This window comes from Homo sapiens, chromosome 15 (assembly GCF_000001405.40).
Source record: "Homo sapiens chromosome 15, GRCh38.p14 Primary Assembly".
NCBI classification, from domain to species: Eukaryota; Metazoa; Chordata; class Mammalia; order Primates; family Hominidae; genus Homo; species Homo sapiens.
The window spans coordinates 51,975,768-51,999,486 of record NC_000015.10 but is presented as its reverse complement, the minus strand read 5'-3'; the positions used below and the strand labels follow the sequence as shown (position 1 = coordinate 51,999,486).

General features: G+C 44.0%; 1 protein-coding gene across 2 annotated transcripts in view; it reads right to left on the bottom strand.

Moving 5' to 3' along the window:
- MAPK6 (mitogen-activated protein kinase 6) overlaps window positions 1-23,719 on the bottom strand; it is a 95,551-nt gene that overhangs the window by 67,889 nt on the left and 3,943 nt on the right. Inside the window, exon 2 of one of the 2 annotated variants that reach the window (XM_047432852.1) lies at window positions 16,172-16,281. The exons of the other annotated variant lie outside the window; for it this stretch is intronic. The gene's annotated coding sequence lies outside the window, so the exon portion shown is untranslated. The remainder of the gene's footprint in view (window positions 1-16,171; window positions 16,282-23,719) is intronic. 2 annotated transcript variants of the gene reach the window in all.

Genomic DNA, 23,719 nt, shown 5'->3' with positions numbered 1-23,719 from the left:
TAAAATAAATAACTCATTTTTACAATAGGCAAAGGATTTGATAGACATTTCTCCAAAGAAGATATACAAATGGAAAATAAGCACATGAAAAGATGATCACCATGATTGGTCATTAAGGAAATGTAAATCAAACCTACAATGAGATACCACTTTATACCCACTTAAATGGTTATAATGTTAAAAATGGAGGCTGGGCGCGGTGGCTCACACCTATAATCCCAGCACTTTGGGAGGCTGAGGGCAGGTGGACCACTTGAGGTCAGGTGCTCAAGACCAGCCCGGCCAACATGGTGAAACTCTGTCTCTACTAAAAACACAAAAAAATTAGCCAGGGGTGGTGGGGCCCACCTGTATTCTCAGCTACTCTGGAGGCTGAGGCAGGAGAATCGCTTGAACTCGGGAGGTGGAGGCGGCAGTGAGCCGAGGTGGTGCCTGGTGCCACTGCACTCCAGCCTGGGCGACAGAGTGAGACTCCATCTTAAAAAACAAAAAAAAAAGGCCGGGCGCGGTGGCTCCTGCCTGTAATCCCAGCACTCTGGGAGGCTGAGGCGGGCAGATCATGAGGTCAGGAGATCAAGACCATCCTGACTAACACAGTGAAACCCCGTCTCTACTAAAAATACAAAAAATTAGCCAGGCGTGGTGGCAGGTGCCTGTAGTCCCAGCTACTCCGGCGGCTGAGGCAGGAGAATGGCGTGAACCCAGGAGGCGGAGCTTGCAGTGGGCCGAGATTGCGCCACTGCACTCCAGCCTGGGCGGCAGAGCGAGACTCCGTCTCAAAAAAAAAAAAAAAAAAAAATTAACCAGGCATGGTGGCGCACGCCTGTAATTCCAGCTTCTTGGGAGGCCGAGGCAGGAGAATCTCTTGAACCTGGAGGCAGAGGTTGCAGTGAGCTGAGATCACACCACTACATTCCAGCCTGGGCAATAGAGTGAGACTCTGCCTCAAAAAAAAGAGAGAGGGGAGAAAAAAAAAAAAAAAGGCCAGGTGCGGTGGCTCATGCCTGTAATCCCAGCACTTTATGAGGCTGAGGCCGGTGGATCACCTGAGGTCAGGAATTCAAGACCAGCCTGGCCAACATGATGAAAATCCGTCTCTACTAAAAATACAAAAATTAGCCAGCTGTGGTGGTGGGCGCCTGTAATCCCAGCTACTTGGGAGGCTGAGGCACAAAAATCACTTGAACTCGGGAGGTGGGGGTTGCAGTGAGCCGAGATTGTGCTACCACTAAGAAAATAACTTTAGGCTGGGTGCAGTTGCTCAAGCCTGTAATCTCAGCACCTTGGGAGTCCAAGGCGGGTGGATTACGAGGTCAGGCGATCGCGACCATCCTGGCCAACATGGTGAAACCCCGTCTCTACTAAAAATACAAAAATTAGCTGGGCGTGGTGGCATGTGCCCGTAGTCCCAGCTACTCGGGAGGCTGAGGCGGGAGAATTGCTTGAACACGGGAGGTAGAGGTTGCAGTGAGCTGAGATCATGCCACTGCACTCCAGCCTGGTGACAGAGCGAGACTTTGTCTCAAAAAGAAAAAAAGAAAGAAAGAAAGAAAGAAAGAAAGAGAAAGAAAGAAAAGAAAGAAAATAACTTTAAAGGCCGGGCGTGGTGACTCACACCTGTAATCCCAGCACTTTGGGAGGCTGACGTGGGTGGATCGCCAGAGGTCAGGAGTTTGAGACCAGCCTAGGCAACATGGCGAAACCCTGTCTCTACTAAAAATACAAAAAATTAGCTGGGTGTGGTGGCGGGCACCTGTAATACCAGCTACTCAAGAGGCTGAGGCAGGAGAATCGCTTGAACCCGGGAGGCAGAGTTTGCAGTGAGCCGAGATCACGCCATTGCATTCCAGCCTGGGCAACAAGAGCGAAACTCCATCTCAAAAAAAAAAAAAAAAAGAAAGAAAGAAAATAACTTTAAAAATTTGCCTGGGCCGGGCAAGGTGGTTCATGCCTACAATTCTAGCACTCTGGGAGGCCAAGGCGGGTAGATCACTTGAGGTCAGGAATTCGAGACCAGCCTGGCCAATGTGGTGAAACCCTGTCTACTAAAAATATGCAAATTAGCTGGGTGTCGTGGCACATGTCTACTTAGGAGGCTGAGGCAGGAGAATCATTTGAACCCGGGAGGCAGAGGTCGCAGTGAGCCAAGATTATGCCACTGCACTCCATCCTAGGTGACAAAGCAAGACTCTGTTTCAAAAAAAAAAAATTGCTAGGCACAGTGGCTCACTGTAATCCCAGCACTTTGGGAGGCCAAGGTGGGTGAATCACGAGGTCAAGAGTTCAAGACCAGCCTGGCCAACATGGTGAAACCCAGTCTCTACTAAAAATACAAGAAAACTAGCTGGGTGTAGTGGCGGGCGCCTGTAATCCCAGCTACTCAGGAGGCTGAGGCAGGAGAATTGCTTGAACCTGGGAGGCAGACGTTGCAGTGAGCTGAGATTGTGCCACTGCACTCCAGCTTGGGCGACAGAGTGAGACTTCGTCTCAAAAAAAAAAAAAATTTCCTGGCATGGTCATTCACACCTGTAATCCCAGCACTCTGGGAGGCTAAGGCAGGAGGATCACTTGAGGTTAGGAGTTCCAGACCATAGGGAGACTATGTCACTATAAGAAACTAAAAAAACTTAGTTGGGTGCAGTGGCACATACCTATAGTCCTAGCTACTTGGGAGGCTGAGGCAGGAGGATCATTTGAGCCCAGGAGTTGCAGGCTGCAGTGATCTATGGTCATGCCACTGCACTCCAGCCTGGGAAATAGAATGACACTTTGTCAAGAAGAAGGAGGAGGAGGACGGGCGCCGTGGCTCATGCTTGTAGTCTTAGTGCTTTGGGAGGCCCAGACAGGTGGATCGCTTGAGGCCAGGAGTTCGAGACTATCCTGGCCAATATGGCGAAACCTCGTTTCTACTAAAAATACAAAAATTAGCTGGGCATGGTGGCACATGCCTGTAATTCCAGCTATTCGGGAGGCTGAGGCAGGAGAATCACTTGAATCCAAGAGGTGGAGGTTGCAGTGAGCCAAGATTGCACCACTGCACTCCAGCCTGGGTGACAGAGCAAGACTCTGTCTCAAAAAAATAATAAATACATAAATAAATAAAAGGGGAATATTTCCACCAGGGGACACAGCCAAAGTCTCTGAATTACTAGCAAAAGCTGCCATCTGGGCATTGAAGACTCCTAGAATCCAGAGACAAGCAGGCTAGAAGTAGACCAACAATCTTGGCGGGGGTATTGACCCTGGTCATTAGAAGAGGTTAGGTCTTCTTCTGTTATACGATAAGGGGAAGGAAAAATGTTTCAGTGCTCTGAGGATCTGCTTGAATGCCTCTTGTTGTTATTCCCTTGCCTTGTTGTGAAGGTAAATGGATAATACAGCAACTCTGTCCTTAGAAAGGCCTGGTGACCAGAAACTCAGACCTCTCTGAGATGGGAATCTAAATCGCCTCCCCAGGTAAGTTACCAAGGCTGAAAGCGGTGGTAGCTGAGGATGAGAGGAATTTAGAAAGCCTGTAAGTTGTTTTTTTCCTTCTTTCTTTCCTTCTTTCTTTTTTTTTGAAACGGAATCTCACTCTGTAGCCCAGGCTGGAGTGTAGTGCTGTGATCTCAGCTCACTGCCACCTCTGCCTCCCGGGTTTAAGCGATTCTCCTGCCTCAGCCTCCTGAGTAGCTGGGACTATAGGCATGCGCCACCATGCCTGGCTAATTTTTGTATTTTTAGTAGAGACAGGGTTTCACCATGTTGGGCAGGATATTCTCAAATTCTTGACCTCAAGTGACCCACTCACCTCGGCCTCCCACAGTGCTGGGATTACAGGCATGAGCCACTGCGCCTGGCCTAGAAAGCCTGTAAGTTTTGATTGTGGCCCCAGGAACAACTATAGCGGAGGCAGCTATAGTTTGTCCTATAAGTCTTCCTTTTCAAAGTTTCCCCAGGGAGAGAGGCCTATCATAAATCTTGCAGGAGTTACTACTCAAACGTATATGAAGAAGTGGATGTGAAAGCAGCACAAGAATGAACACAGAGATGAAGCCACTGAGCTTCCCTTTATGGAAGGACTTCTTGTCCCTTCTACTTGGAGTACTGTCAGCAGACAGCAATCAGTCATCAACTCCTACAGCTGCAGAAAGCAACCTCACCCAAGCTCATGCCCTTTTGGGAACAGTCTGCATCCAGCAGCTGATCAAGGTATAATTTGGAAGTCTAGCCCTTTCAGGCTGGTTTGGGACAATGCCCAAGGGTCGCTGTAGCTCCAGAGCTCCTCATGAGGTCAGCTGAGGCTGCTGGGCCTTCCTTACATACAGTTTACTTTTCCTTCTGTCTAAGCCTGCTTCCTCCTCTGCCCTGGCACAGGTGTCGATCCCAAAGACACTCCCTAGCAAACATCCTGGACACTAAACTCTGACTCAGAGACTTCTTGCAAAGCTTAAACTGTGAAAATGCCCCATCATGCCCAAATACTTTAGTATTTCTTGCTAATAAGCATATTCCTCCAGCACAATCATCACAATCAGCAATGTTCAGAAATGATGGTTGTATTTAGTTATTATAGGTCTTCCGTCTTCTTCAATCTTGAATGGTTCCTTAGACTCTTTTACTTCTATGACTTTGATACTTTTCTAGATTACAGGCCATTTATTTTTATAGAATGTCTTTCCATGTAGGCTTGTCTGAGGTTTTATCATGATTAGATTCATGCACCTTTGGCAGAACAATCAGAGAATCAACGCTGTGTTCTTCCAATAGCATGATGTCAATTTGTCCCATCACTGATGTGGCTGATTTTGATCACTTGAATAACATGGTGTCTTCCAGACTTTTCCACTGTAAAGTTACTCTTTTTCTCTTTGTACTTAAGTATTTTGTGAGGAATACCTTGAAGCTATGTAAATATTCCATTCCTCATCAAACTTCCAGTTTTAAAAAAAATCTTTTTTTTAGATACTGGGTCTTGCTCTGTTGCCCAGGCTGGAGTACAGTGGCACGATCATTGCTTACCACAGTGATAATCATGATGAAACCTCAGACGAACCTAAATTAAAAGACATTCTATAAAAATAAATGGCCTGTAATCTAGTCTGAAATTCCTGGGTTCAAGCAATCCTCTGTCTCAGCCTCTGGTATGAGCCACCATGCCCAGCATCTGCCTCAGCCCGGGAATCAGCCATTCTCCAAGGGGCCCTGGTTCCTTTTGGTGGAGAATGGTATTTAGAAACCAAGAGCTGGCCAGGCGCGGTGGCTCACACCTGTAATCCCAGCACTTTAGGAGGGTGAGGTGGGCAGATCACCTGAGGCTGGGAGTTCGAGACCAGCCTGACCAACATAGAGAAACCCCGTCTCTACTAAAAATACAAAATTAGCCAGGCATGTTGGCGAATGCCTGTAATCCCAGCTATTCGGGAGGCTGAGGCAGGAGAATCGCTTGAACCCAGGAGGTGGAGGTTTCAGTGAGCCAAGATCGTGCCATTGCACTCCAGCCTGGGTGACAAGAGCAAAACTCTGTCTCAAAAAAAGTATAAATAAATAAATAAATAAAAAGAAACCGAGAGCTAAGCTGGGCATGGTGGTGTGTTCCGGTAATCCCAGCTACTTGGGAAAGAGAGGCAGAGGATTCTTCAGTCCAGGAGTTTGAGACTAGCCTGAGCAACATAGTGAGACCTCATGTCAAAAAAAAAAAAAAAGAAAGAAAAAAGAAAAGAAAGAAAAGAGAAACCAAGATCTGGGCATTATGTGTACGCATTGCTATTAGGTGTCACTGTTCTCAGGCCCTTTTTGTGGACAGAGCTAGGGAATATATGAAATATATGTATGTGTGTACATATATGTGAGCATTTATATATATAAACTTTTACATATACACACATTTACATCTATATTTATTTCTACATCCATCTATCTATATTTAAAATTATGAATTTACACTAATACCTTTCTAATCCAACACCAAATAATTCTTCTAGTTTTTTCACTTTCCACATATGTAACTCCATTTCTGCCAGTGAGAAACTTGATTCCTGCTATCCTTAACATGATGACTTATTTAATCAATCCTTCCATTTGTAAACAATCTCCTGGGTCTGTCTGTGACATCGTAAGGTATATATTTTGATCTTCATTTGCAGTTCCTGATGTAGCGCTCCTAAAAACCCTTCTAATTTCCTGAGCAATAGTGGTGCTAGGAGGATCTTTTGTTCTAATATTTGGTCTTTGACCTTGGTTCCTGACTCAGAGCTCCCAAGACTTGTGTAATTTCCTGAGTGACAGGTGCATATGATACAGAGCTCCTAAAGATCCTTGGAAATTCCTCTGATTGGTGCATCTTTTTCTAATGAGGTAACTTTTGGTACACTCCTGAATAGCCTCAGAATGGGAGCTGGTTGCCAGGGGAACCAACTATGTGATTGGAGGGTTAGAAATTTTACCCCCCCACCAACCATAGACCTCCAGGGAGGGGAGAGAGGTTGAAGGTTGAGCTGACCAGCAAAGACTGATGATCTCATCAGTCATGCCTACATAATGAAGCCCCCATAAAAACCCAAAGGGACAGGATTTGGAGAGCTTCCAGATAAGTGAACACGTGGAGGTTCCTGGAGGGAGGTGCTCCCAGAGGCGGCATGGAAGTCCTACACCCCTTCTTCCATACCTTGCCCTATGCATCTCCTCCATCCGACTGTTCATCCATCCGTATCCTTTGTGATATTCTTTAGGCGATAAATTGGTAAACATAAGTAAAAAGCATTTCCCTGAGTCTTTGAGCCACTCTAGCAAACTAATTGAACCCAAGGAGAGAGTCATGGAAACCCCACTTTATAGCTGATGGGTCAGAAGTACAGGTCAGAACCTGGGACTTGTGATTGGCATCTAAAATGGGGGACGGCTTGGCTGTGCGTGGTGGCTCACGCTTGTAATCCCAGCTCTTTGGGAGGCCGAGGTGGGTGGATCGCAAGGTCAGAAGATCGAGACCATCCTGGCTAACATGGTGAAACCCCGTCTCTACTAAAAAAAATGCAAAAAATTAGCCAGATGTGGTGGCGTGCACCTGTAGTTCCAGCTACCCGGGAGGCTGAGGCAGGAGAATGGTGTGAACCTGGGAGGCAGAGCTTGCAGTGAGCCGAGATCGCACCACTGCACTCCAGCCTGGGCTAGAGTGCGAGACTCTGTCTCAAAAAAAAAAAAAATATATATATATATAGATAGATAGATAGATAGATAGATAAATGAGGGACAGCCGGGTGCGGTGGCTCATGCCTGTAAGCCCACCACTTTGGGAGGCTGAGATAGGCAGATCACTTGAGACCAGGAGTTCAAGACCAGCCTGTGCAACATGGCAAAACCCTGTCTCTACAAAAAATACAAACAACGAGCCAAGCGTGGTGGTGTGCGCTTATAGCCCCAGCTACTCAGGAGTCTGAGGTGGGAGGATCACTGGAGCCTGGGATGTCGAGGCTGCAGTGAACTGTGATCAAGCCACTGCACTCCAGCCTGGGTGACAGAGCGAGACCCAGTCTCCAAAAAATAATAGATAAATAAATACTTAGTTGCCTCGAATTTTCTCCTAGACTTTTTCCTATACAAAGATACTTCAAATGTCCTAAAGCTATATAAACCCAGATCTCAGTAAGAATGGATTATTCACTTATCCTCAAATGTGCTCCAAGCTGTTCTCCAAGCTCTGTGCCGGATTCTTCTACCTGGCCCATCCTCCCACTGCATCTCCACAGGTCCTTTGACCTACATATCGTTCAAGTCACACTTCAGACACTATGTCCTACCTAAAGCCTTTGCCGATGTCGGCAACCCTAGACCCTCAGAGAACTGTGTATGTATCTATGACATAGCCTTTTCTGATTTATATTCTAATTACCATTCTTAGGAAACTAGAAACTAGTTCCCTGGAGACTGGTACCATTTCTTTTTCATGTCTTCACTCCCTGGAGGCCTTGCACACAGTAGAGGCTCTAAATACATTTGTCGCGTTATGTAATAAAAGTTTATATACTTTGTATTAATTTCTCGTTATGTGATACACTTTCCAGAACAATTCAACTTCCTAGTAGTCCTTTCTGGCATGAGACCTAAATTTTCTATCTCATAGAAGAGAAAGGTGTTTACTTTTCTCATCTAAAGGACAGCAAAGTGAAGGTGTTTGTCTTTTTGCCAACATGATGCCTCGGGTTATATTAGTACCAAGAGATAAAATCTAGTCTCAACATAAATTCATATTTGCCTATGTAAGCCTATATATACACACATATATACACATATATATACATATGTACATATATACATATACATATATATATGTGTGTGTGTGTGTGTGTGTGTGTGTGTGTGTATATATATATATTTCTTTTTGAGATGGAATTTCGCTCTTGTTGCCCAGGCTGGAGTGCAGTGGTGCAATGCCGGGTCACAGCAACCTCCTCTTCCTGGGTTCAAGTGATTCTCCTACCTCAGCCTCCTGAGTAGCTAGGATTACAGGCATGTGCCCTCACACCCGACTAATTTTGTTTGTTTGTTTGTTTGTTTTGAGACAGAGTCTTGCTCTGTCGCCCAGGCTGCAGTGGAGTGGCCAGATCTCGGCTCACTGCAAGTTCCGCCTCCCGAGTTCATGCCATTCTCCCGCCTCAGCCTCCCGAGTAGCCGGGACTACAGGCGCCCGCCACCATGCCTGGCTAATTTTGTTTTCGTACTTTTAGTAGAGACAGGATTTCACTGTGTTAGCCAGAATGGTCTCGATCTCCCGACCTCGTGATCCGCCTGCCTTGGCCTCCCAAAATGCTGGGATTACAGGCGTGAGCCACTGCGCCTGGCCTAATTTTGTATTTTTAGTAGAGACACGGTTTCTCCATGTTGGTCAGGCTGGTCTCGAACTCCCAACCTCAGGTGATCCGCCTGCCTCGGCCTCCGAAAGCACTGGGATTACAGGCATGAGCCACTGCGCCCAGCCATAAGCCCATATTTTTATCCTGCCCAAATCATATACCATTCTAACTTTTAAAGTTATGAAATATTGACATTTTCTCTTTTTCGCTACAATATATGCACTACTTTGCATATTGAATGCAATCATATTTTTATCTGCAGAGAGATGGCCCCAATTTCTCACTGCCCATAGCAATTATGTAACTACAGCAGGAGATCAACCTGCTTCTTTTGTGTTGGCCTTAGCATGGATTTGCATAATCTGTTCCAAAGTTGGGCATTATCGAAAATCTAGGCTACTTTGTTGTATTTTTTTCCCTATTAACTCTTTAGTGCAACCTTTTGCACTAAATCATTAGACAGTAAACACTTTGACTCAGAGGTGTCTTCTAACTTCTTTGTATCCTTCTCACAAGCCTTAGGATAACAGCACACCACAGATGTGCAATGAATGATTTCACCAAATTAGTTTTAGAGTGCTTCACTTGTTCAGGCTGTTCCTATTAATCTTGCTGTGTTTAGTAGCCAAAACAATGGACTTTTGGTGTTCTTTTCCTCATGCTTGGTTCTACTGCTTTTAGACTTGTATTTGTCTCTAGTAGCCTGCTAGACATTGCTAGACAAATTATTCAAGTTGGCAGTTTAAATAATTTTAAACTGGGTGTGATGGCTCATGCCTGTAATCCCACCAATTCAGGAAGCTGAGGTGGGAGGATCGCTTGAGGCCAAGCATTCGAGACCAGCCTGGGCAACACAGAGAGACCCTTTCTCTACAAAAATAAAAAATAAAAATTAGCCAGGTATGGTGGCACATGCCTGTAGTCCTAGCTAGTTGGGAGACTGAGGCAGGAGGACTGCTTGAGCCCAGGGCGTTGAGGTTACAGTGAGTAGTGATTGCCCCATTGCACTCCAGCCTGGGCAACAGAGTGAGATCCTGTCTCTAAAAAAATAAAAAATAATAAATATTTTAAGCTTCTGTTCATATAAGGGGACTTGAAATAGAAAGAACTGAGTGAAGAAAGAAGGGTTGGGGACCATGAAGAAGCTCTCCTGTGTATTAACAGAAACTCTTACTGGCAATTGCCTATGGTAGACTATTTATATCCCCCCAAAAGCTATCCATGTCTTAATCCCTGGAATCTGTGACTGTTACCATATATGGCAAAAATGGATGTTACATTGTGGATTTTGAGGCCGGGTGCCTGTAATCTCGGCACTTTGGGAGGCTGAGGCGGGCGGATCAACTGATGTCAGGAGTTCAAGACCAGCCTGGCTAACATGTTGAAATCCGGTCTCTACAAAAATACAAAAATTAGCAGGGCATGATGACGGGTGCCTATAATCCCAGCTACTTGGGAGGCTGAGGTGGGAGAATTGCTTGAACCCGGAAAGCAGAGGTTACAGTGAGCCAAGATCATGCCATTGTACTCCAGCCTAGGCAACAGAGTGAGACTCCATCTCAAAAAAAAAAAAAAAAAATTATGGATTTTGAGATGGAGTGATTATCCTGTATTATTTGGTGGGCCCTAACTGGAATTACATATGTCCTTAGAAGACGGAGGCAAAGGGAAATTTGATAGACAAGGAGAAGGCAATGTGACCACAGATGCAGGGATTCGAGCACTCCACAAGCCAAGGAGTGCTCAACAGCCACCAGAGGCTGAAGGAGGCAATTAACTTATTCCAGAGCCTCTGGAGGGATCACAGCCCTGCTGACACCTTTATTTGACCCAGTGATACTGATGAACTAACTTCTGGTCTCTAGAACTGCAAAGGAATACATTTCTGGTTTTGTGTGTGTGTGTGTGTGTGTGTGTATTTTTTTTTTGCCCAGAGTCTCACTCTGTTGCCCAAGCTGGAGTGCAATGGTGTGGCCTTGGCTCATTGCAACCTCTGCCTCCCGGGTTCAAGCAATTCCCCTGCCTCAGCCTCCCGAGTAGCTGGGACTACAGGTGCTTGCCACCACACCCGGCTAATTTTTGTATTTTTAGTAGAGACAGGGTTTCATAATGTTGGCCAGGCTGGTCTTGAACTCCTGCCCTTGTGACCCACCCGCCGTGGCCTCCCAAAGTGCTGGGATTACAAGCTTGAGCCACCACTCCTGGCTCATTTCTGTTGCTCTAAAGCCACCGAGTTTGCAGTAATTTGTTATGGTGGCTTATATAACAAATACAGGAAACTAATACAGTATCTCATTTCTCAAATGTTTCTATCTTTTCTTTTTCTCCTCTCCTTTTTTAGCCTATATATGTATTAAAACTCCCATTTTATTCTTTCTTTTTTTCCTAATAGGTTTTCTCTGTGGGTATCTCTAAGAAAATAACCTTTCATATTCTTTTCAGTTTCCTTAGATGTTGGATTTCAAACCAATTTAATAAACATTTAGTGGCCATCAGCTATGGGTCTGAAATTGTTTAGGTACCTTGGAGAAACATAAAAAATAAACATAAACTTCATCCTTACACATCTGTAAATTATTTGGGAAACAGTTTACATAGTACTATGAGCCACACGCCTGTAATCCTAGCACTTTGGGAGGCCAAGGCGGGCAGACTACCTGAGGTCAGGAGTTCAAGAACAGCCTGGCCAACATGAGGAAACTCTGTCTCTACTAAAAATACAAAAATTAGCCAGGTGTGGTGGCGTGCGCCTGTAATCCCAGCTATTCCAGAAGCTGAGGCAGGAGAATCACTTGAACCCGGGAGGAGGAGGTTGCAGTGAGCCAAGATCGCACCATTGCACTCCAGCCTGGGTGGTAAGAGTGAAACTCCATCTCAAAAAAAAAAAAAAAAAAAAGTACTATGAGCCATTGTGTGATCAAATCTACGAGTAAGTGCCAAAGTCAAAAAGAGCAGTAAAAATTCAGGAAAGTGGATAATCTGTGAGGGGACTGGAGGGTACTGGGTTGGTTTTACTGAGTATGTAGATTTTATTTTTTTTGAGGCAGAGTCTCACTCTATCACCCAGGCTGGAGTGCAGTGGTGCAGTCTCAGCTCACTGTAACCTCTGCTCCCCACCGACCCCACACTAGGTTCAAGCAATTCTCCCACCTCAGCCTCCCAAGTAGCTGGAACTACAGGTGCACGCCACCATGCCCGGTTAATTTTTGTATTTTTAGTAGAGACGACGTTTCACCATGTTGGCCAGGCTGGTCTTGAACTCCTGACCTCAAGTGATCTGCCGCCTTGGCCTCCCAAAGTGCTGGGATTACAGGTGGGAGCCACAGTGCCCAGCCTGAATAGGTGGATTTTAAAGGTAGGCATCTGAACAAAAGGAGAGGACTTCAGATTTTATTCTTGGGGCAGTGGAAATTTGGTTAAGAATTCCCTCCTCAGTTCGATTTCTTTTTGCATTATAAAAGTAATCTAGACTTTTCTTAAAACATTTCAGAAACATAAAAATTAGAATGCAAAATTCTCCCATAATCTCCAGTACTCCCAGAGAAAAGCTTTGCTAACAAGTTGAAATAGTCCAGATTTTTTTCTGTGCATATGGTAATACGTTTTTATAAATATTACAGCAGTGGAATCATGCTGTAAATACTTTTTTTGCAAACTGCCATTAAAGACTTTGAGCAAAATTAAATAGAAGCCATATTTTAAGATGATTATCTTTTGGCAACATGCACATAGATGTCCCTAATCCTTTCTAATTCATTTTGAGCTGTACTGAGGGGAGAAATGGCAACAGAGGGAGTAAAGGGCTGTCATAATAGTCTGGGCAAAAATATGGGTAGGGACTATGGCAGCAGCTGATGGAATTGGGGATTGAGAACTTTTTTCTATTATTTCAAGATCTTGGGCCACATAAATGAAAACAGAATTCGCTCTTTCACCTTTGAGAGGGGAAAATATAAAAGAGTGAATTCATCCATATTTTAAGATAGTCATATGCTCTAATTATGGTACTAGTGGCTGAAAAGGGAAGAAATTGCTTCCTAAGCAGTGACAGTGAGGCTAAAATGGTATTTTGAATACAACGATGTCTTTTTTGATTACAAAAGCATTACATAATTATAAAAGCATTTGTAGAAAACATGGAAAATATTGAAAAGTCAAACAAAAAATAAAAATCACCCAAAATTCTGTCACTCAGCTGCAAACTCCATGTACATTTTGGCTTATGTCCTTTCAGACATTTTCTTGTGCAACTGTATGAACATACATATACTTAAAAAAAAAACGAAATTGGGATAATCCAAAATACTGCTTTGTGACTGATATGGTTTGGTTCTGTGTCCCCACCCAAATCTCATGTTGAATTGTAATCCCCAATGTTGGCGGGGACCTGATAGGAGGTGATTGGATCATGGGAGTGGATTTTCTTCTTGCTGTTCTCATGACAATTAGTAAGTTCTCATGAAATCTGGTTGTTTAAAAGTATGTAGCACTTCCCCCTTCACTTTTTCGGCTTCTCCATCATGATTGTAAGTTTCCTGAGGCCTCCCAGCCATGCTTCCTGTACAGCCTGCAGAACTGTGAGTCAATTAAACCTCTTTTCTTCATAAATTACCCAGTCTTGGGTAGTTCTTTATAATAGTGTGAGAACAGACTAATACAGTGACATACAATTTTTTTGTCGTTGTTTTTTGTTTTTTTTTTGAGACGGAGTCTCACTCTGTCGCCCAGGCTGGAGTGCAGTGGAGCGATCTCGGCTCACTGCAAGCTCCGCCTCCTGGGTTCACGCTATTCGCCTGCCTCAGCCTCCCGAGTAGCTGGGAGTACAGGCGCCCACCACCATGCCGGGCTAATTTTTTGTATTTTTAGTAAAGACGGGGTTTCACCGTGTTAGCCAGGATGGTCTTGATGTCCTGACCTTGTGATCTGCCCGCCTCGGCCTCCCAAAGTGTTAGGATTACAGGCGTGAGCCACTGCGCCTGGCCGGGTTTTTTGTTTTTTGTTTTTTTGAGACAGTGTCGCTCTGTCACCCAGGTTGGAGTGCAATGGTGCAATCTCAGCTCACTGCAACCTCCATCTCCCAGGTTCAAGAAATTCTCCTGCCTCAGCCTCCTGAGTAGCTGGGATTACAAGCATGCGCCACCACACCCAGCTAATTTTTGTATTTTTAGTAGATATGGGGTTTCGCCATGTTGGTCAGGCTGGTCTCAAACTTCTGACCTCAAGTGATCTGCCCACCTCGGCCTCCCAAAGTGTTGGGATTGTAGATGTGAGCCACCGTGCCTGACCATGATATACAATATTTTATTTTATTTATTAAAGATGGGGTCTCACTCTGTCACCCAGGCTGGAGTGCAGTTGTGTGATTGTGGCTCATGGTAGCCTGGAACTCCTGGACTAAAGCACTCCTCCTGCCTCAGCCTCCTGAGTAGTTGGGACTACAGGTGCATGCCACCACACCCAGCTAATTAAAAAAATTTTATATAGAGATTGGGTCTCACTATGTTCCCCAGCGTGGTCTACAACTCCTGGGCTCAAGTGATCCTCCCACCTCATCCTTCCAAAGTTGTAAGCCACCACACTCAGTCAACAATTTTTGCCTGGCAATATGTTATAAGCATCTTCCCATGACTTTGAACAGTCTTTTAAAAATCTTTGGTTTTTAAGTTAATATTTTTATTCTTCTTGTTGATTATAGTAGTGATACAATTTCATTGCAAAAGTGCGAAACAAAAAACAAAACAAACTCACAGAAGTATATAAAGTGGAACATGACAGTCTTCCCATAATCTCACTTCCCAGAGATATAGAGCTGTGCTGCATCCTGCCTGCACTAGCCCATTTAAGCTGATTGTGTAGATCTCTTCCCAAGTGTGTACAATAACTATACATTGACAGCTTGAAATCAGCCATGGCAGGAATATTTGCACCATGAAATTAGCAAACACCACATATCAGGGCTTTTCTTCCCCCCCGGAGAACTGGTTGTTAAGCTTTTACTAGCGCATCACTGTACACATCCTCCTAGACATTTACTGCATATTTAAATATTTGTTTCTGGCCGGGCACGGTGGCTCATGCCTGTAATCCCAGCACTTTGGGAGGCTGAGGCGGGCGGATCACGAGGTCAGGAGATCAAGACCATCCTGGCTAACACGGTGAAACCCTGTCTGTACTAAAAATACAAAAAAAAAAAAAAAAAAAAAAAAAAAAATTAGCCGGCGTGTTGGCAGGCGCCTGTAGTCCCAGCTACTCGGGCGGCTGAGGCAGGAGAATGGCGTGAACCCGGAAGGCGGAGCTTGCAGTGAGCCGAGATTGTGTCACTGTACTCCAGCCTGGGCGACAGAGCGAAACTCCATCTCAGAAAAAAAATTTGTTTCTGAAAACATAGAAAACATCCAGTTTCCTAACTGGCTTTAGTGATTCAACAATATATGATGCTCCTTTCTTCAATACACATTCATCAACCTAATCCTTTTTATTTGCTACTTAGTATTCCACTGTGTAACTGCATCATTATAATTTATTTGAACAATTCTCTATTGATGGGTGTTTTGATGGGTTCCAATTTCTGGCTATTATAAACAAAGTTTTGGTGATTTTTTTTCATCTATTTGCACATCTGTCAAATTACTTTCTTAACATCAATTTCTAGACTGGATTTTTTTTTTTTAATGAGACAGTATCTTGCTCTTTCACCCAGACTAGAGTGAAGTGGCATAATCATAGTTCACTGCAGCCTTGAACTTAGACATGGAAATATTTAATCAAAGAGTATAGCCATTTACAGTTTAGATAGATAATACCAAATTGCCCTTTCAAAAGGCTGTCTTATTATTATTTTAGTAATAATTATTATTAAAATCTTGCTCTGTCACCTAGGCTGGAGTGCAGTGGCATGATCATGGCTCACTGCATCCTCAACCTCCCAGGCTCAAGTGATCCTCCCACCTCAACCTCCAAAGTAGCTGGGACTACAGGCATGTGCCATGCCAGCTAATTTTTAAATTTTTTTATAGAGACAGTGTCTTGGTATGTTGCCCAGGCTGGTCTCCAACTGCTGGGCTCAAGCAATCCACCCACCTAGGCCTCCCAAAGTGCTGGGATTCCAAGCAAGAGCCACCACATCAGCCCTGTTGTCCTGTTTTTTTTTGTTGTTGTCGTTTTTTGTTTGCTTGTTTTGAGACGGAGTTTCGCTGTTGTTGCCCAGGCTGGAGTGCAATGGCGTGATCTCTGCTCACTGCATCCTCCGCCTCCTGGGTCCAAGTGATTCTCCTGCCTCAGCCTCTGAGTAGCTGGGATTACAGGCCACCACTTCCAGCTAATTTTGTATTTTTAGTACATACGGGGTTTCTCCATGTTGGTCAGGCTGGTCTCGAACTCCCGACCTCAGGTGATCTGCCCACCTTGGCCTCCCAAAGTGCTGGGATTACAGGCATGAGGCACCACGCCCAACCTAAAAAAAAATTCTAAAGGTTAATATTGTTTTTGCAAATAGAAATTTATGACCCTGGGATATTTTTTGGCTGTTTTCCTATTAGTTACTTCTTTCTGACATTTTAGGCCCAGGATTCTAACCCATTTTCCTACCCAAATTTTGATTTTGTGTTAAGTAGCAGATAAAAAGTGTGTACATGTGTGTTTGCACATCTGAAAGTTAAACTTATCCATACATCACTATGAATCATGATTAACCTAAAATGTCACACCCATTTAAAGAAAGGAATTAATCCTGCCTGTCATTTCCTCATTGAGTAAGGAAATAAACTGCAGTCAAGGAAGTAAAATCTTCACTGGATTCTTTAGGGAAATTTCATCTTATGGAGCCCAAGAAAAAATTTAAAAATTTCCTTAAAAGGTAACAGTTACTTTATATAAATGATTACTTTATCAGCAGATGCATACAAATCAGAGTGCCTATAGTTGAAAAATATTTTCTTAGTGTTTTCTAGTCTGAAAAATACCTTTTTTATTTTTTTTTACTTGGGAAAAACACGAAAAAACACTGCCTCATTTTATCATAAGAAGTGTTTTGATTGCTATCTAAAGGCAGTATTCTTCAAGTCTCCTCTTATCTAAGACCTCCTTCACCACCACCAACACAGGACATTTTCTTTCTAAAGAAAAATTAGTAAGTGTATAGTGTATGTGTGAGTGTGTATGTGTGTGTACCTCATTTTACATATGATTGAGATCTCTTTAGGGTATACCATCACCATCTTGTGGCCTTTTGCCATATTACTGTTAAGGATGTTAATACTGCAATGCTTTTTTGCCATTGCAAGCATGAAATTCAGCATTATCTCCTCTTGGTAGTCCTCTGTGGGTGAGATGAAATATACTGAGGGCCAGATGCAGCCTGCGTGCCAGCAGTCCCCACCCGCCGACGAGATAGTATCTCTGCAGTTATGCTGTGTTCTCACACGATTCTAAATCAGCCAGTTGGATAAGGAAATCCAGTGAAAGATCTAATCAGAGCAGTTTTGCTGTAAAGTGAAATTTTCAGTTTTGCTTTGTGTTTGAGCCGGATCTGTTTTAGTGGTTCCTTTCTATTTGTAAAATTTTGGTTGGCAGGGAAGTCTACATTTCCTGATGTTTCTCTCTGTCTCTGTGTTTGTGCTGTTGGGATGTTTTCACATTTTTGTTTCAATATTTCCCCACCTCAGTACTATTTTATTATGTGCCTTAAAAAATTATTTTTCCATCCCCTTCTGTCACTCCTTTCCCTTTGTATTCTTAATCTATTTTTTTCCGTCCTTTCTTTCCTTCCTTATACTTCTCATTTTCAGTTTCTTTGATATCTTTTCTGCATATCGTTTTTCTTATTCAGCTTCCTCCACTAACACCCACAGCACCCTCCGTACCCCATCCTCCTTTCTTTGTTCCTTCTGATTCTTTCCTCCAGTAGTTGTTCCTGCTCTGGTGTTGAGTACGCTGACCTCATCCTGCCTGCTGCAAAGGTCTTTTTAGGACATAGCTCTCTGGTAACCCTCAAGCTTCAGGAAGGAGTCTAAAGTCTATCTATTCCAGGAAGCGGGTTCCTAAACCCAACCCTATATTTAAAAGGTTCCAAAAGGACAAACTTTGCTTCTGTCCTAAGAAATAATTTCTGACTCATTACCTTTATTCTGTTCTTTTTTTCTTCACATAAGTCTGAATTTTCTTTTTTTTCTTTTTCTTTTTTTTTTTTGAGACGGAGTCTCGCTCTGTCACCCAGGCTGGACTGCAGTGGCACGATCTCGGCTCACTGCAAGCTTCGGCCTCCCATTCATGCCATTCTCCTGCCTCAGCCTCCGGAGTAGCTGGGACTACAGGCGCCCGCCACCACACGCGGCTAATTTTTTGTATTTTTAGTAGAGACGGGGTTTCACCGTGTTAGCCAGGATGGTCTTGATCTCCTGACCTCATGTTCCGCTGGCCTCGGCCTCCCAAAGTGCTGGGATTACAGGCATGAGCCACCGCACCCGGCCGATAAGTCTGAATTTTCATAGGAAGCATATTGGAACCTTTTCCAAGCTTATATTTGCATGTCCAAACTCTCATTTGTATAGGGAGTAATTTATATACTAGTGCTTTGGAGATGACACTTGAATCTTATAAAAAGCAAGTTAGATTAATGGTGGTGGAGGAAAGAGGTTCAGGAAAGGGGTTTGCTATCATTTTAGAAAACAGCTTACATTTAATTATGGGAAGTATGTTTTCTGTCTTTTTCTGGATACCCTGCAAATGCTTCCATGAGGTAATCAGCTCTACGTTGAAATAGCTTTTGTGGCTGGGTGCGGTGGCTCATGCCTGTAATCCCAACACTCTGGGAGGCTGAGGTGGGCGGACCACCTGAGGTCAGGAGTTCAAGGCTAACCTGGCCAACATGGTGAAACCCCATCTCTACTAAAAAATATAAAATTTAGCTGGGCGTGGTGGTATGCGCCTGTAGTCCCAGCTACTGGGGAGGCTGAGGCAGGAGAGTCGCTTGAACCCAGGAGGTGGAGGTTGCAGTGAGCCAAGATTCTGCCACTGCACTCCAGTCTGGGCAACAGAGCAAGACTCTGTCTAAAAAAAATAGCTTCTGTAATTCCAACTGGTAAATAGCTCCAAACACACAAAAAAATACTTGAGGCAACTAATGTGATGCCCAGTTTATGATGTATTATGCATCCTAGATACCAAACTGGTAGGAAAATTGTAGTTCAACAAAGGATATGCTACCTAAACAAAGGTTTTTTCCTGCTTATTCTAAAACAAATACATGTTCATTGTGGAAACCCTAGAAAATATTAAAATGAACAAAAAAATAAAATCTCAGCATCCAGAGTTAACTAAACACTACTGACATTTTGGTATCCACATTTTTTTTTCTTTTTTTTTTTTAAGACAGTTTTGTTCTTGTCACCCAGGCTGGAGTGCAATGGAGTGGTCTCGGCTCACCACAACATCTGCCTCCCAGGTTCAAGTGATTCTCCTGCCTCAGCCTCCCAAGTAGCTGGGATTACAGGTGCCCGCCACCACGCCCGGCTAATTTTTGTATTTTTAGTAGAGATGGGGTTTCACCATGTTGGCCAGGTTAGCCTTGAATTCCTGACCTCAGGTGATCTGCCCACCTTGGCCTCCCAAATCACTGGGATTACAGGTGTGAGCCACCGCGCCCGGCCCTTCTACTTCTAATTTTAATTTTGAATATGCTCATTTGGTACAAAATTCAAAAGGTACAGAGTGTAAAGTAATGTTTCTCTTCTCTCCTCCAGTTTTCTAGCTCCTTCTCTTGGAGGCAAGCACTGGGTCCAGCTTCTGATGCAGTCTTCCAGCAACAGTCTCTCTGTTTACATGCTAGACACACACACATATTCACATTTTTTTACTTTTATTTTTTGGAGACAGGGTCTCACTTTGTCACCCAGGCTGGAGTGCAGTGGCGCAATCTCTGCCTTATTATACTCTCGACCTCCCAGGCTCAAGTGATCCTCCCATCTCAGTCTTCCAAGTAGCTGGGACTACAGGCACATGTCACCACATCCAGTTAATTTTAGTATTTTTCGTAGTGATGGGGTTTCGCCTTATTTCCCAAGTTGGTCTCAAACTCCTAAGCTCAAGTAATCCGCCCACCTTGGCCTCCCAAAGTGCTAGGATTACAGGCATGAGCCACCATGCCCAGCCTATATTTAAATTTTAATGGTAGCTTTATATAAATATTATTCAGAATGTTTTTTCCTCCTCCTTACCATGTATCTTGGAAATAAAATATTCTTTACTAAAATTATTAGTGTGTGGTGTTAAGTTTTAAAAGTCAAATAATCCTACTAAACTGAAAATATGTTTATGTTATTATGTCTGAGCAAGTCTTCTTAGCTGTGTAGCTTAGGGCAAAGTTTCTTAGCTTCTCTGTTCTTCCTTCTCCCTTTCTTTCTTTCTCTTTCTTTCCTTCCTTCCTTCCTTTTCTTTCTCTTTTTTTCTTTCTTCTTTCCTTCTTTCTCTTTTCCCTCCTTCCTTCCTTCCTTTCCTTCCTTCTCTTCCTTCCCTCCCTCCCTCCCTTCCTTCCTTTCTTTCTCTCTTTTTTTTTTCAAGGTCTCACTCTGTCACCCCGGCTGGGGTGCAGTGGCATGATCATGGCTCACTGCAGCCTTGACTTCCCAGCCTCAAATGATCCTCATGCCTCAGCCTCCCAAGTAGCTGGGACTACAGGGGTGAGCCACTATTCCTGGCTAATTTTTTTGTGACCAGGTCTCACTATGTTGCCCAGGCTGGTCTTGAACTCCTGGACTCAAACGATCTGCCCACCTTGGCCTCCCAAAGTGTTGGGGTTATCGGTGTGAACCACCATGCTTGGCCCCTTCAAATTCTTGACATGTAAAATGGGAGGAATGTAATGTAATCTATGTTATAGGGTTGTTGTGAAAATGGAATAAGTTAGTTCTAGTCCACAATCCCTTTTTCAAAATTCTGAAATCCAAAAATCTCTGAAATTGTTTTCTTTTAAAAGTTTTTTTCTTGTTTTGTTTTTTTAATGGGGTTATAAGGTAATCCCCCCAAAAAATCTCTGAAATTGAGCGTACTTTCATAACTCATTTTGGTGGCAAATGCTGACCCAAACTGATCTAAACCTATTTAAACTTTATCACTCTTAGTTTGAATTTTCATACATTTTACTATAGAAATTTAATTTTGATTATAGGATGCTGGTCAGCCCCTGCTGGGTGTGGTAATAGAGTTTAGATACCGTATTACCTTTTTGAAATCTGGGCATGGTGGCTCACGCCTGGAATCCCAGCATACTGGGAGGCCAAGGCCGGTGGATCACCTGAGGTCAGGAGTTTGAGACCAGCCTGGCCAACATCCCAAAACCCTGTCTCTACTAAAAATACAAAAAATTAGCTGGGTATGGTGGTGTGTGCCTCTAAGCCCAGCTAGTCGGGAGGCTGAGGCAGGAGAATCACTTGAACCCAGGAGACGGAGGCTGCAGTGAGCTGAGATTACACCACTGTACTCCAGCTTGGGCGACAGAGCAGGACTCTGTTACAAAAAAAAAAAAATTAAACTGTCATCAGTAATTCCTTTTGCTTCTTTCCATTGTTGGTTTTCCTATCTCAACAGCTTTTCTCTTCCTTGGTTTAGTGGACCACCTCATTTTGGTGGACAATTCATAGACTGTAAAATATTTGAGCAACCTTACCAGTTGCTAAGGCTGCATAACAAAATACCTCAAAACTTAGTGTACTATGCCACAGCACCCATTTATGGTCTCCTGGTTACTCTGAGACAATTGAGGAAAGGCTCAGCTGGGCACTTGTGGCCTGGGCTCCTTCACTGAGGTGGCATCCAAATGGTGGCTGGGGCCAGGTATGGTGTCTTGTTCCTATAATCCCAGTACTTTAGGAGGCCAAGGTGGGAGGATCGCTTGAGGCCAGGAGTTCGAAGTCATTCTGAGCAACATAGTGAGACCCTGTCTCTACAAAAAAATAAAAAGTTAGCCAGGTACAGTGGCACATGCCTGTAATCCCGGCTACTCAGGAGGCCGAGGTGGGAGGATCAGTTGAGCCCAGGAGTTCAAGGCTGCAGTGAGCTGTAATCACACCACTTGACCTCCAGCCTGGGTGACAGAGGGAGACTTTGTCTCAAACAAAACAAAACAACAACAACAAAATAAATGGAGGCTGGAGTAGGAACTGTAGGAGGGCGATAACAGATGGGGGTTGGCCTGGCATCTCTCTTCATTTGGTCTCCCTGTGTGGCCTCCTTTGGGCTTTTTCACAGCATGGAGCCTCAGGGTAGTTGCACTGCATACATAGAGGCTAGTTTCCTTCGGATACCATTACTCTTTCCTTTATTTAATGATAGTTTGGTGAGTACAGAATTCTAAGATGGATCGGCCGGGCGCAGTGGCTCACGTCTGTAATCCTAGCACTTAGTGAGGCCAAGGTGGATGGATTGCCTGAGCTCAGGAGCTCGAGACCAGCCTGGACAATATGGTGAAATCCCGTCTCTACCAAAATACAAAAAATTAGCCGGGCGTGGTGGTGTGCACCTGTAATCCCAGCTACTCGGGAGGCTGAGGCAGGAGAATTGTAGAACCTGGGAGGCAGAGGTTGCAGTGAGCCAAGATCGTACCACTGCACTCCAGCCTGGGCAACAGAGAGAGACTCCATCCCCCTTCCCCCAAAAATAATAATAATAATTCTAGGATGGATAATTTTCCTTCAGAATTTTATTTTATTAATTTATTTTTTTGAGACAGAGTCTTGCTCTATCTCCCAGGCTGGAGAGCAGTGGCTTAATCTAGGCTCCTGCATCCTCCGCCTCCCGGGTTGAAGCGATTCTCCTGCTTCAGCTTCCTGAGTAGCTGAGATTACAGGAGTGCGACCGCCAAGCCCGGCTAATTTTTGTATTTTTAGTAGAGATGGGGTTTCACCATTTTGGTCAGGCTGGTCTTGAACTCCTGACTTCATGATCCGCCTGCCTCGGCCTCCCAACGTGCTGAGATTATAGGTGTGAGCCACCACACCCGGCCTCCTTCAGGATTTTAAAGACAATTCCACATAGTTCTAACTCTCAGAATTGTTTAGAAATCTGACAACATTTTAATTCCAGATTCTTCATATGCCAGCAGATTTTTCTCTCTAGAAACTTTTAGAATTTTTTTTTTAATCCCCAGTGTTCTGAAATTTTATAGTGAATCAGGGAATGAATTTGATAAGCTGGTCAATGTTCTTGTTTGAGTTTTACGTTCTGCTCAATTTTATGTCTCAATAACTGCGTTCCCTCTGGTCACTTCATTAATATAGTTTGAATCTTCCTAAGAAACCTTTCCTGACTAACCCCCATCTTCACTGATCATTTTCTGGCTTTCAATTTTTAGTACCTCTACATAGTTTATAATTAACTTCTTTTTTTTTTTTTTTTTTTTGAGATGGGAGTCTCGCTTTGTCACCCAGGCTGGAGTGCAGTGGCACGATCTCAGCTCACTGCAACCTCTGCCTCCCGGGTTCAAGCGATTCTTCTGCCTCAGCCTCCCGAGTAGCTGGGACTACAGGCATGTGCCACCACGCCCGGCAAATTTTTTATATTTTTAGTACAGATGGGGTTTCACCGTGTTAGCCAGGATGGTCTTGCTTTCCTGACCTCGTGATCCGCCCGCCTCGGCCTCCCAAAGTGCTGGGATTACAGGCGTGAGCCACCGTGTCCAGCCCCCCAAACTCTTTTATATGAAGAAATATGTTTGTCATTATTTTTATATCCCTATAGCACCCATTGTGGGACCCTAATTCAGTAATTCAGTAAGGAATCCAGTAAAGGCAGACTGTTAGTGAATATCATGTGTCTTCCAAGAAATCAGCTGAGTATTTACTTACTGCTATAGAGAGAAACTACAAGGTTCCTCTCTTGCTCTCTTTAATTCAGATCAG